Source organism: Homo sapiens, chromosome 20 (assembly GCF_000001405.40).
Source record: "Homo sapiens chromosome 20, GRCh38.p14 Primary Assembly".
Classification (NCBI taxonomy): Eukaryota; Metazoa; Chordata; class Mammalia; order Primates; family Hominidae; genus Homo; species Homo sapiens.
This window is the reverse complement of record NC_000020.11, coordinates 58,247,808-58,262,300: the sequence shown is the minus strand read 5'-3', so window position 1 is coordinate 58,262,300 and position 14,493 is coordinate 58,247,808. Positions and strand designations below refer to the sequence as shown.

Here is a 14,493-nt window from a genome sequence, read left to right as displayed (position 1 = left end):
TCCATTTGTCCTTGCACCTTTTCCTTTGTGGCTCAAGGGGAGGTCACAATGGGCCATCTTGTTTTCTTTAGCTGCTGCTCCTCCACTGATCCATGCAAATGATGCTGTATGGCATGACCCTTTCTGTTTGCCTTATAGAAGCAAATAGCTCCAGGATTATTCCAGCATTTTAGGAAAAATTGGTCCGTAAAGGATGTAAAAATTCATAAGCATTAATTATGAGTATAATAAAATATACAGAAGATAGTTGTTTTCCTGTTTGGGAAACAGTGACGTTAGAGAAAGGAATTATTTTCTTTTTTAAAGTGCAGAAACATTATACGCCATAGAGCTAAAAAATTGTATTACAGCATCAGAACATTTGGCAATTACTCTTCATTTATGTAAAAGTTTTATTCAACTATGCGTTAAAGGTCTGGCTTTTTAAACTAATTTAATTTTTGCATATTCCATGTGTTTATAAGATGAATCAGGCTGAAGAATAATTGATTATTAAAATCCAAATTCTCCAGGGTTCTTTTATAAATTTCAAGTTTCTCTATAAGAAATTAAATTTGTTTTGCAAAATGAACCTGGATAATATCATTTAGTTGGGGTATTTGGCAGTTGAGCAGTGAACTTTGCCAACTAGATCTTCTTTTCCATTTGGAAGTTGGTTAGGCGAGTTTCCAAGGTTACGACTGACAACCAAATATCTTACCCCTAAAGACTGATAATACCATGAAAAATAATGCTAAAGGCATTTTTGCATGATTTTTATTTTGTTTTCTTTCCAAATACTCCATTCTTGTCAGCAATATTCCTCTTCTTCTTCATTTTTTTTGGTAGAAATATTTGGAAAATATTACAAGCCTTCAAAAAGCTATCTGCACAAATCACTTGCAGAACAAATTAGTTCACATAAATTGTATTTTTCATTCCAAGTGAGATGCTGGTCTCATTACTTGAATGGATAGGATTTGAACTGTGGCTGCGAGAACAGAAGTGATCTTGAACCTCCCACCCACCATGGCCCAGACTGTGCTTGTCTGTTTCTCCCAGGTGTTCCTGCAGGACCTCTGCTTTTCCTCCCGTGGAGATCTGATGGGAGTGGAATGTGGGGTGTCTGGTCTGGCCCATGTGTGCTTTGCTCCAGCTATTTCCCCAGACCCTGGAGGCCAAGGGGCCTTGGGGGGACTTGCCCCTTGAGTACCAGAGAGCTGTGGAACACAGAAAGAATCTTCTTTTTAGCTAGGAAATGACAATGTGGGTGGAGTAAATGACAGTGTGAGTATCATTAGCCAAGGAAGAGAAGGCCACATGTGTGCTTTGTAGAGCTCCCCTAGGAAGGCAGGGTTCTGATTTAGCTAGTCTGTAGGTGATACCCCAAACATTGCAGGTGCCAGTGTGTATCTATTAGGAGGTGATTCAGGGAGCTGTTAGCTAAAAGGGTGATGAGGAAAGAAGCAAACCGGGCTGGTCAGATGCCCGATGTGTTTGGGGGCTCTCTGTTGATCCGGATGGTGTGAATATTGCTACATCTGTGCTGTACATAAACACACGCCTACTCAAAGCAGTGCCATTTTGGAGGAAGTGCCTCAACTCCCAAGGAGACTGCACGTCTTCATGGATAAAATACATCTGTTCATTCGACTTGTCACTCTCATTAGAACTTAACAATTAGTTGATTCTGATGCCAACAACTCTAGTGCATATATGATTGGGAAAATCAGAGATAACCAACTGCATGTGTCCTGGGTGTTTTAGATTGAGTTATGCAGGACAGCTTCCATGTTGGGACATGGGTACATGGAATCCTGGGAAGGGAAATGTGTGTGCATTTTCCTTTGTGAAGACCTTCTAGAAACCCTATGCAATGTTAGTGACTCTGTCCTTGATGCAGTTAGAAGGGTTGGCTCTGTCTGTCTTCTGTCACTTAGCAGTTGAGTTGTGAAATTCTGTTTTGTTTATTTCTCCCTCAAGATGGTGAGCTTCTTGGCTCACTGGGCTGCGGTATCTTTGCACCATCAGCACCCAGCACAGTGCCAGGCCCAGAGTCAGTACTAAATAAATGTTAGTTGTTGGATGAATGAATCGGTAAAAACTGCAAGAGCTGTATCTTTTAATTATATCTAGACAGGATAAACAGGCCACCAGAGACCAATTATAATTCCTCTTGCTTGCAGGGACGCCATTAGCATTCCGAGATTATAACTCATTGTCAGAAGACTATTTTTCTCTCTCAAAACTTTTTCACGTTAAGGCTTCCTCATTTTTTGTCATCATTTCTATTTTTAAGCTAATTTTTATTTGTGCACTTATTTAAGAAGAATCTCTTGGTTATGTGCTATAAAGAACAGTTGGCTCCAAGCAACTAAGTGAAGATCGTCATTCCATACAAGTGGTTCCCAGGGCCACGGGAATATAATTTCTTGTCACTAGTGTGCTGACTTTTAATGACTCTGGATTTGTTTTATACTGTATAGTAATAAGGTCATGCAGGTGTGGCAGATGGAGAGGGGTGGATGGAGATACTGGGAGTGCTTTAGTTGCCCATCACCCTGCATACGGAAGCCTCACATCCTCATTTATTGTGGCTGTCACTTTGTACAACTCTGCTAAGCATCACATCAGAAATATGTGTCCTCTCTGTTCTGAGGACACAAACCTTTTCCTTATTTGTGTTATGGGCTAGTTTCCCCGTTCGCTCCACCCCCATTGGTTTTCTTTCCCCTCTTCCTGTATGCAAATTCCAAATAGAATGATGGGTAGATTACTAACCCAGAACCTTTTTCTACTGTAAATAGGCAGTGCTGTGTATATAGTGAGAATAACAGACTTTAGAGACAGGAAGCCCTTCCTCCCCCCAATCCCTGCCTTTCTCCATCCCTTCCTTTCTTCTCTCCCTACTTTGGTCCTTCACTCCCCTGCCTTAACCTTCTTCCTTCCTTCTTTTGTTTTTTCCTCCTTTTCTTTTTACTGTGTTGGGGGAATGGAAGAATTCTTTCACAATTTTGTTTTTGGCAACTTTTCATCTTGTTTCAATTTCAAACTTGCAAGAAAGTTGCAAGAATAGTAGTATGAATTCCCCTATACCTCTTTCTGGCTTCTTTAGTAATTTGTATCTAGCTTCATTTATTTTATCATTTTTTTTCTCTTCTCCTCCATTTCTCCTTCTCTCTCCACACATACAGACAGATGCATATTTACTGTATTTATTATTTTCTGAGACATTTGAGACTTAGTCGGAGGCATTGTCCCTCTTTATATCTAAATACTTCATTTTTTAATTTAATGTTTTATTTATTAAGGACAAACAGCAGCATTCATCTAAATACTTCAATGTATATATCCTAAAAGGAAGGAAACTCTCTTATATAACCATAGTACAATGATCAAAATAGGAAATTTAACACCGATACAGTGCTAACGTCATAGCCACAGTTCATATGCAAACATCGCCATTTGCCTAAGACCCAGTCCAGGGTTACTTGCTGCAATGAGCTGTCCTATCTCTTTGGTTTCCATTAATCTGGAACAGTTCCTGAGTCTGTCTTTGAATTTTGTGACACTTAAGTATTGGAAGAGTACTGGCCACATTTTTTTTGCAGAGTGTCTCCCTGTTTGGCTTTGCCTGATGTTTCCTTGTGATTGGATTCAGATTCTGTCTTTCTGGCAGGAGTATCACAGGAGTGATGTATTCCCAGTGTGTCATGGCAGGAGGCACAAGACTTCAGCTTGTCCTAATATTGGTGATGTTAACTTTGATGACCTAATAGATAGATGTGGTATCTGCCAGGTTTCTCCAGTGTGCTCTTTTTTCCCTCTGGAAGTAATGAGAATTACCTTGTATTTAAGTATGCTCTTCTCCGTCAGACCTTCACCCGCTAGCGTTGCTGTCTATTGACAATTCTGGTTGACATTCTACTGTGCTGCCTTCTCCATAATTTGCCACCATTTTGTTGAGGATTTTCATATCTATATTCAAGAGAACAATTTTCTTTTCCTATTATGTCTCTGTCAGATTTTAGAATCAGAATTATTCTGGCTTAAAAAAATGAGTTGGGAAGTATTCCCTCCTTTTCTATTTTCTGAAAGGTTTTATTTAAGATTGGAGTTATTTTTTTCCTAAAACATTTGTTAGAATTCTCCAGTAAAACCTCTGGTCCTAGAGTTTTCTTTGTGAGATGGTTCTTCATAACAGATTTAATTCAGATACAGTGCTGTTCAGATTTCTTCGTCTGTGTCACTGGGTAAGTTGTACATTTCAGGGAATTTATTAATTTCATGTAAGTTGTCAGATTTATTGGGTTAGACTTGTTCATGATATTCTTCTATTATCTTTTTAATGTCTGTAAGATCTGTGGTGTTATCCCCTTTCAATTATGATCTTGGTAATTTGTGTTTTTTTCTCTCTTGATCAGTCTTGCTAGGGGCTTATCAAATTTATTTATGTTTTCAAGCCAATTTTTGGCTTTGTTGGTTTTTTTCACTTATTTCTTTTTCATTGATTTCTACTGTTTATTATTTCCACCCTTCTCCTTTCTTGAGTTGTTTGCTTGTCCTTTTTTTAGCTTTTTAAAGAGGAAACAGTATTTTTAAGCCTGCATTCTTTTCCATTTTAAGCATTTAAAGCTACACATTTAATGTTAATGTCTATGTGATATATTAACCCTTTCATCATTAAGAAATGTCTTTGACAGTAATCCATATTTTATAATCAATTATGATAGTAATATAACCACTCTAGGATTTTTATACTTATTATAGTATATTTGTTTATTTTTTTACTCTCAACTTACATGTCTTTACATTTAAAGTGTTTGTGCTTTTGTTAGCATCTAGTTGGATCCTGCTTTTATATCCAGTCTGATAGTTTCTGCTCCTTAATTAGTGTGTTTAGTTCATTTATATTTAATGTAATTATTGATATGTTTGGTTTTATTACTGCCATTTCTCTGTCTGTTTTCATTTGTCTCATCTGTTTTTTTGTTAATTCTTTTCTGTTTTCTTTTGGGCTAATGAATGTTTTTTAGCATTGCATTTTAATTCCTCTATTGAGGATTTTCAAAAAATATATCACCTTTTGCAACAGCATGGTTCCATTCACTTGCTTTCATCCTTTGTGCTGTTGCTTTCATGTATATTACATTATGAGCCTGCGAATACACTGTGTTAGGCCATTCTTGCATCGCTATGCAGGAATAACTGAGACTGGGTAATTTATAAGAAAAGAGGTTTAATTGAATCATGGTTCTGCAGACTACACAGGAAACATAGTGCCAGCATCTGCTTCTGAGGAGGTCTCAGGAAGCTTTTACTCATGGCGGAAGGCAAAGTGGGAGCAGGCACGTCACATGATGAAAACAGGAGCAAGAGAGGAAGTAGTGGGGAGGGAGGTGCCACACTTTACAACAACCAGATATGCAAGAACTCACTATTGTGAGGACAACACCAAGCAATAAGGGATCCACCCCCATGACCCAAATACCTCCCACCAGGCCCCACCTCTAATATTGGGGATTACAATTCAACTTGAGATTTGGTGGGGACATATATTTAAACCATATGGTACAGTATTTTAATTTTTGATTTAAAGAGTTACATCTTTTGAAGAGATTAGTAAAAAAGAAAAAAATACAGCCTTTTATATGCCCGTTTTTGCCATTTTTGGTGGTTGTCATTCTTTCCTTTCCTGGATATGAGTTATCATCTGGTATCCTTTCCCTTAATGCAGAAGAACTTCCTTTAGTACCTTTTGTAGTTCAGGTTGGCTGATGATGAAATTTATTAATTTTTGTTTATCTGAAAATGTCTATTTTGCATTTATTTTTGAATGATAGTTTTGTGGATGTAGAATTGTGAGTTGAAAAGTTTTTTTGTTTCTTTTAGCATTTTAAAGATGCCATTCTGTTGTCTTCTGGCCTCCTTTGTTTCTCATGAGAAGTCATCTATCATTTATATTGTACTCGTATATATAAAATATCCCTTTTTCTCTGGCTGCTCATGAGATTTTTCTCTTTACCTTTGGATTTAGCATAGTTAGTATACTGTTTTGTCTCCATTGAACTTCTTGGATTTGTGTGTTAAGCCTTTCAAATAATTTGGGAAGTTTGGGCTATTGTTGTTTTAAATACCTTTTTCTGTATTCTTTTTCTCCTTTCAGTTTGTGACTTAGATAACACAAAGTTGGGACCCTTGATGTTGTCCTACAGGTCTTTGAGGCATTGTTCACTTTTCTTTAATCATTTTTTCTCTCTGATGTTTAGATTTGATAATTTTTATTAATTTAAAAAGTCATTGATTCTTTTTTTTTACTTCTCTCCAATCTGCTGTTAGGCCTAGCCAGCAAATTTTTAATTTCAGTTATTGTACTATTTTGCTCTAGAATTTCCATTTTGATCTTTTATAGACCTTTACAGTTTCTATATCTCTATCATATAGAAAGTCCCTGTCTATTCTTTATGCATTTTTTCCTTGTAATTCTTGAGTATATTTATAACAGCTCCTTTAAAGTCCTTGTCCGGCCCATGCAACATTTGGATCATCTTGATGTTGGTTTTCATTGACTACTTATATTATGGATCACTTTTTTCTTATTAATGCATGAGTAGTGATTTTTGATTGGACACTGGACATTATAAATGATACATTGCAGAGTCCCTGGATTCTGTTATATTTTTCTAAAATGATTTTTGTCCTAGGAGGCAGTTACCTTGATTAATCTCCAGCTCCAAATTATCTGCCTTGTGAGCAGAAGCTGAAATCTCTGCTGAGTTTGTTTAATTTCTGACGCTGCTTTTTTTCTGGGTCCTCTGGGATCCCCCTCACATATATGTAGTTTAGCAGTTAGCCAAAGATTTAAGCACATTTTATGCACAGATTTTGGACCTTGCTTGCAAATCTCTCCTGTTGCAGTGTATCTTTTAAGAGTAGCCCCTCTTCCAGTTTCTGCCTTTTGGTTGCTTTCCGCTGCTTTCAAATGGTGTTTTTTTTATGTTTTGTCAAGATTCTATAATTTTTAGCTTCAGGAGGGTTAGTCTAACTTAGACTTTGCTATTACCAGAAGTCTTGGTTCTTTTTTATAGTTTCCATTTCTTTGATAAGATTCCTAATCTGTTCATTCATTGTGGCCCTGTTTTCCTCTTTGTACTTGAGCATATTTGTAATAGCTGCTTTAAATTCCTTTTAAAGTCTTCTAATTCTAATATCTGGATTTTCTGTGGGTGTTTTTTCTGCTGACTGATATTTTTCTTGACTGTGGGTCACATTTTCTTATTTCTTCTCATGTCTATAGATTTTTCATTTTCTATTGTATTTTGTTGAAACATTGTAGAAACTCTGGATTTTGTTGTTTACCTCTAGAGATATTGACTTTGTTCTAGAAAGCAGTTCAGATTCTGTTTTTCCTGTAGTAGGCAGCAGCTGAAACAGCTCACTTCTTTCATCCTTAAGTTACTGTTTCTCTATGAACCTCACCATCTCCCCTGTGCATGCCCAGTTCAGAGATCAGCTAAGGATTAGGGTAAGATTTAACCACAGATTTTGGAGCTTTCCTTTCTTTGGCTCCCTCCTTCCTTCACAGTAAAACTGTAGCTTTAAAAAATTTATGTATGTATATATGTATTTATTTCACTAGCTTTAGGGATACAAGTGGTTTTTGGCAACATGGATGAATTGTATAGTGGTGAAGTCTAGGATATTAGGGTACGCATCACTTGAGTAGTGTACACTGAACACCAATAGGTGGTTTTTCATTCATCACCCCATTCTGACCCTCTCCCCTTCTGAGTCTTCAGTTTCCATTATATGACTGTATTTGCCTTTGCATACCCATAGCTTAGCTTCCATTTATAAGTGAGAACATGGGGCATTTGGTTTTCCATTCCTGAGTTACTTCACTTAGAATAATGTCCTGCAGTTCCATCTAAGTTACTGCAAAAGACATTATTTTGTTCTTTTTTATGGCTGAGTAGTATTCCATGGTATATATATATATACCACATTAAAATATATATATATATATATATATTTTTTTTTTTTTTTTCCTTTTTTTGAGATAGCATCTTGCTCTGTTGCCCAGGCTGGAGTGCAGTGGTGCAACCTTGGGTTACTGCAGCCTCAACCTCCTCGGCTCAAGTGATCCTCCCACCTCAGTCTCCCAGGTAGCTGGGACTACAGGCGTGTACCACTACACCCAGCTAATTTTGTTTAGTTTTTGTAGAGACAGGTCTCACTACCCAGACTACCACATTTTCTTTGTCTTCTCATCGGTTGATGGGCACTTAGATTGATTCCATATCTTTGCAATTGTGAATTGTGTTACAATAAACATATGCATACAGGTGTCTTTTTGATACAGTGATTTCCTTCCCTTTGGGTAGATACCCAGTAGTGGGATTGCTGGATCGAATGGTAGACCTACTTTTAGTTCTTTGAGAATTCTCCGTAATGTTTTCCATAGAAGTTGTACTAATTTATATCCCCACCAGCAGTATATAAGCATTCCCTTTTCACCACATTCATGCCAACATCTATGTTTTTTGACTTTTTAATAATGGCCATTCTGGCTAGGGTAACGTGGTATGTCAATGTGGTTTTAGCTTGCATTTGTCTGATAATTAGTGATGTTGAATTTTTTTTATATGCTTCTTGGCCATTTGTATATCTTCTTTTGAGAAATGTCCTATTCATATCATTGGCCCACTTTTCAGTGGGATTATTTGTTTTTTTCTTTGATTTGTTTGAGTTCCTTGTAGATTCTGGATATTAGTTCTTTGTTGGATGCATGGTTCGCAAATATTTTCTCCCATTCTGTGAGTTGTCTCTTTGATGACTATTTCTTTTGCTGTGCAGAAGCTTTTTAGTTTAATTAGATCGCATTTATTTATATTGGTTTTTGTTAAATTTGCTTTTGGGGTCTTAGTCATAAATTCTTTGCCTACACCAGTGTCCAGAAAGAGTTTTTCCTAGATTTTCTTCTATAATGTTTATGGTTTCAGGTCTTAGATTTAAAATCTTGAGTAGATTTTTGTATAAAGGGAGAGATAAGGATCCAGTTTCGTTCTTCTCCATGTAGCTAGCCAGTTTTCCCAGCACCATTTATTGAATAGAATATCCTTTCTCCAGTGTATGTTTTGTATGCATTGTGAAAGATCAGTTGGTTGTAAGTATTTGGCTTTATTTCTGGGTTCTCTATTCTGTTGCAGTGGTTTGCTTTTATACTATTACCGTGGTGTTTTGGTTACTATAGCCTTGTACTATAATTTGAAGTTGGGTAATGTGATGCCTCCAGATTTGTTCTTTTAGCTTGGTGTTGCTGTGGCTATTCTGACTTTTTTAATTCTATATGAATTTTAGGATTTTTTTTCCTAATTCTGTGAATAATGAATTGATATTTTGATAAGAATTGCATTAAATCTGTAGATTACTTTGGGCAATGTGGTCATTTTTATGATATTGATTCTTCTAATCCATGAACATGGGATGTATTTACATTTGTTTGTGTCATCTGTGATTTCTTTGGGCAGGGTTTTGTAGTTCTGTTTGTAGAGATCTTTTACCTCCTTGGTTAAGTATTTTATTTTTATTTTTTGTAGCTATTGAGTTCTTGATTTGATTCTCATCTTGCTCATTGTTCGTATAAAGCAGTGCTACTAATTTGTATACATTGGTTTTATAACCCAAGACTTTACTGAATTCATTTATCAAATCTAGGAGTCTTTTGGAGGAGTCTTTAGGGTTTTCTAGGTATGAGATCATATCATCAGCAAACACAGATAGTTCCTTTTTTCTGGTTGGGATGCCTTGTTTTCTTTCTCTTGTCTGATTGCTCTGGCTAGGACTTCTACCTGTTGCTTTTGCTTGAGGTCTAGCTACCCTGTATAGCCATGTAGAACGGGAAGTACCCTCAGGCAAAAAGCAGCATAAATGCAAAATTTAATCTTTTTTTTTTTTTTTTTTTTTTTCTTGTAAGGGTCTAGTCTTTAGTTTCTCCAGAATGTGATCATCTTCCAGTGCTTACCATGTCTTGCTGTCACTGGATGACTCACCTCCCCACTGTTTGTGTTTAGTCATTCTATTTAACCTCTTGCAGCATTTCCCCATCCGGAAACATGAGGATAAATAATGCCCATGTCATAGGATTCTTGGGAAGGTAAAATGAGCCAATGCACATACATTTTTGTTTGTTTGTGTATTGGGCACAAGGTGGGGACCTGGCAGATTGTAACTCTTGAGCTTCTGACAAACAGTTACCTGAGTCAAACTGGAGAAATGTTGGGCCTTCTGTTGATCTTATAACTTGACAAAACTCAAAAGAAGGTGTTTTTTATTTTTCCTTCTTAGGTATGTTGGGAATATTTTGAATATTGGCTTTTGGAATATATCTTTAGTGCTACATGTGACTTACATGCTTTGACATTTTAAATGATTCGATTTTTTAAAAAAATTTATAGATAATCTGCAAAATGGCTTCAATGCTGAGTAAGAGTACCGTTGAACGCCTGCTACTCCCCCGATTCTGTGAACTGTGTGGTGACAGGAAGCTCTTTCAAGTTCGGAAGGTAGGAATGTAAGAATTCTAAAACTCTTAAAGTTAAAAAAAGTTCAAAATTGATTTTTCTAAAGGTTTTGGACTTCTTCAGTAGACATAGTCTGGGGGAAAAATGTGTCCAGTGTGAACTATGTAAGGAAAATATCTGAACAGCGTTGCCAGTTTTTACTGCAGTTAAGAAATGCGTAGAGACCTGGAGATAAAGAGTCTGTATGACTAGACCTGTTGCCCTCAGGCACAGGGTGAGAGTTAGGGGACCTTGCTGGTTTATGGTTAGATGCCCAGGCTTGCAAGGTCTTTGATTATCTGTGGTGATTTGATCCAGAACCTTCTTATCTTTGCTATACCTTCCAACCCCAAATTCCCTTTTAGTCACTTGTCACTTGGTTGTCAAATTCTTCCTTTTGAAGTTCGTTACCATCCTTCCCTAAACAGCCTCACCTTGCACCTTGCTGTGTAACTGGCCATCACCCCTCTGGTCTCTGTTCATGATACACAGGCAGAACAGCAGGTCTCCTTTACCATGCAGGGAATGTTAAGGGGCCTCTTTTGCCTTATCGCTAACATGCATTCTGTATCAAGATCAATTAGGAGCCAGAAAATCTTAGAATTTGGCACCTTATTGTAAATCTTCTGTTTTTGATGCAATGGAGGCATCTGGCGTTGTGCTGTATGGGCGATGGGCTTGGGAAAGGCTCGTTAGCTGCCTGACTAGCGGGGTAATTGCTCTCAAAGTTCCTGCTTGTTAGTTTTTACAATTTGTTAAGACAAAAAGAAAGATAAGAATAATGGATATGCCTTTTGCCTTTTTAAGGTTTGTGCTGCAAATTTTGGTGATATTTGTCATGCTGTTGGACAAGAAGCCACTGAGAAATTTTTGGTATGTGACATTTTGGCCAATTGTAATTGTTGATTTGCTTCTTAATGCACTTTCAAAATCACTTAAGTTTTGTATTTATGAATGGCAGCTCAATTTTGCATTTGTTAATTTCAAATTTCATAACTTCTGAAGCTAACATTTTCCTAAGCATTAGGTAGCTGGTCTGTGGAATGGGCTGGAAGCAACCCCCATCTTTTTTCCGGTGGGCTTGGCTGTCTCCTCCTTACAAGTCACTTTTCCCTGCCTTCTTCTCACTGTCCAAGTTGCTCTCTCTCTTCTCTCTCTGCTGCTCTTTCTAGAACACCACTCTACCACCTCACTCCTGGGCCTCAAAACCATTGGGATTTTTTTCTTGGTTTACAGGTTAAAATCTAGAGCCTTCTGGGCCTTCCAGGTCCCTTCGTAGATGCCTTTTCTGCCTCACCTCCAGTCCCCTTTCTCAGTTCTGAACACTACCCTGGCCTCGGTGGGTCTCACCTCTGGCCATATATCTGAAGCCTGGGGGGGCCCAGGCATCTGCATTTTTGATAAAGTCCCACATGATTCTGATGCATAGCAGAGTAGAGATCCACTTCCCTAAGCAGCCAGGTGACTTCAGCATCCTTGAGACTTCTTGCTCTTTCGTACCTCTGGGCCTGTGCTCACTAAGAGCATCTTCCCTGCCTGGTGGGACCCTCCTCACACTTCCAACCCAGCTTGAATTGCCTCTGTGAAGTTCTTTCCTTGTCTAGGCTGACCTACCTGCAGTGCCAGAGAGAATCAGCTTCTCCCTTCTCAGCTTCCTGGTAGCATTTGTTCAGAGGAGCTGAGGAGCTTCTTGAGGGCAGGGACCGTGTTGTGTTCATCCTTGTTTCCCCAGTGTCTACCCCGTCAGTGCCCGGCCCCTAGAGAACCTTGCTCCATAAGCATTTGTCAGTTTTATTTGACAGAATATACTCCTTGTATGGGTGAGATTTTGACCTCAAAAAGTTTAATCTTTAAATTGATTTTTAAATTTAAGTTCAGAAGCTCATTTTATTTTGTTTAAAGTATAAGCCATGTCAGCACAGTTCTAACCCAAGAATAATTTTTAATGGGCTGTTGCTTTGAATATATAGTGAATTTTTTTTTTTTTTTTTTTTTTTTTTTTTTTTTTTTTTTTTTTTTTTTTTTTTGTGAGACAGAGTCTTGCTCTGTCACCCAGGCTAGAGTGCAGTGGTGTGATCTCGGCTCACTGCAACCTCTGCCTCCTGGATTCAAGCTAAGGCTGGATCCTGCCTTAGTCTCCTGAGTAGCTGGGATTACAGGCATGCACCACCGTGCCTGGCTAATTTTTGTATTTTTAGTAGAGACAGGGTTTCACCATGTTGGCCAGGCTGGTCTCAAACTCCTGACCTCATGATCCACCCGCCTCGGCCTCCCAGAGTGCTGGGATTACAGGCGTGAGTCACCACGCCCATCTACAGTGAATGTTATCTTCTACTTAATATATCTGAATGAAGAATGGCAGTGAGTAACATGCTAATCATTTGTAGGTAGATATTGGCATGATTATATCATATTCCCATTTGCGAAGCATTTTAGGCTATTTTACATTAGGATATTAAAAACAAAGCCCTTTTAAAGGATACACTTTAAAAGGGGATGTAATCATGACCTTTATAGAGATATGAAATGAACGTATTTCAAAGATTTTATTTAACTCATTTATTAGTGAGGAAAACCAGTAAGATATTACAGCCAGTTTAATGGAGAACTCAAAGTACTCATTTATAGTCAGAGCAAGGAATATCGAAGTGAACTTACAAATGAATTCAAAACTGGTCAATATCCAGGGTGATAATTGATTACATTTCACTGGACACAATTTGCATTTCTGTTGGCAGGAATTATTTGCATTACTATCAGGTTTTAGCAACCTACCTTCTATCACTTCAGAGTTGTAAAATAGCTAGGCAAAGACAGTGATACCTGGGTGGGTGAGTTAGTTGGGACATCTACTGTTTCAGAGTCTTTCACAATCTTCTCTACAATTTACCTAACAAATATCGGTCATTCTGCCCTTTTTGGGATTTTCTCTATTATCTGTTAAAGGTAACCAAGTCATTTACTAAAATTAGGAGGTAAAAGAAATGTTTATTTCTTCCACTTCTCATAATATCTGTTTGTTTCAAATGATTCCTTTTAGACCAGTATGTATTTTCCTTTTCCTTGTCATTAATTTCTGCATATGCCTTCACTGCTTCATTAAAATAGGTTCCAGCACTTTGGGAGGCCAAGGTGGGCTGGTCACTTGAGGCCAGAAGTTTGAGACTAGCCTGGCCAATGTGGAGAAACTCCATCTCTACTAAACGTACAAAAAAATTAGCCGGATGTGGTGGCACATGCCTGTAATCCCAGCTACTCGGGAGGCTAAGGCACAGGAATCGCTTGAACCTGGGAGGCGGAGGTTTCAGTGAGCCGAGATCGCGCCACTGCACTCCAGCCTGGGCAACAGAGTGAGACTCTGTCTCACAAAAATAAATAAATAAATAAATAAATAAATAAATAAATAAATAAATAAATAAAAAAAACAGGTTCTGCTCTTCCTCAGAGTCTCCGATTGGAGTAGCACTCTTTTGTTTGTTTTGGCAGATCCCAAAGTTCTTTGAGCTCTGCTCTGATGCTGTTTGGGGCATGCGGAAAGCCTGTGCAGAATGCTTCACGGCTGTGTCGCACAGCTCCTCCCCTGGGGTCCGCAGAACCCAGCTCTTCCCGCTCTTCATCAGACTTGTCAGCGACCCCTGCCGATGGGTGAGTGCCAGCAGCCCTGTCCAGACACCAGCCTCTGTTGACCAACTGAACAGCTACGTCTGGCTTCCAGGCTGGGATTCACTTCTGGGCTTGTAACTTTGTATTTTGTCCCTTCAGTTACTGATTGCCATAATCACATTTAGACCTTGTGAGGTCTCAGGGAAACTAAAATCTCAAAAGCTTGGGGTGAGTTAAGAAGGTGAGGTACACCGTACCATTTATAGTGAACGAATATCATGAAAATCATAATTGAGAAAGAAAAAACTATGTAACTGAACTGTTACCTTTTCTGTTGCTATCATAAACA

At 38.1% G+C, this 14,493-nt stretch overlaps 1 pseudogene across 1 annotated transcript in view; it reads left to right on the top strand.

Moving 5' to 3' along the window:
- PPP4R1L (protein phosphatase 4 regulatory subunit 1 like (pseudogene)) overlaps positions 1-14,493 on the top strand; it is a 76,663-nt pseudogene that overhangs the window by 47,139 nt on the left and 15,031 nt on the right. Inside the window, exons 5-7 of the transcript NR_003505.3 lie at positions 10,437-10,544; positions 11,349-11,414; positions 14,028-14,186. The product of NR_003505.3 is annotated as a protein phosphatase 4 regulatory subunit 1 like (pseudogene) (transcript). The remainder of the gene's footprint in view (positions 1-10,436; positions 10,545-11,348; positions 11,415-14,027; positions 14,187-14,493) is intronic.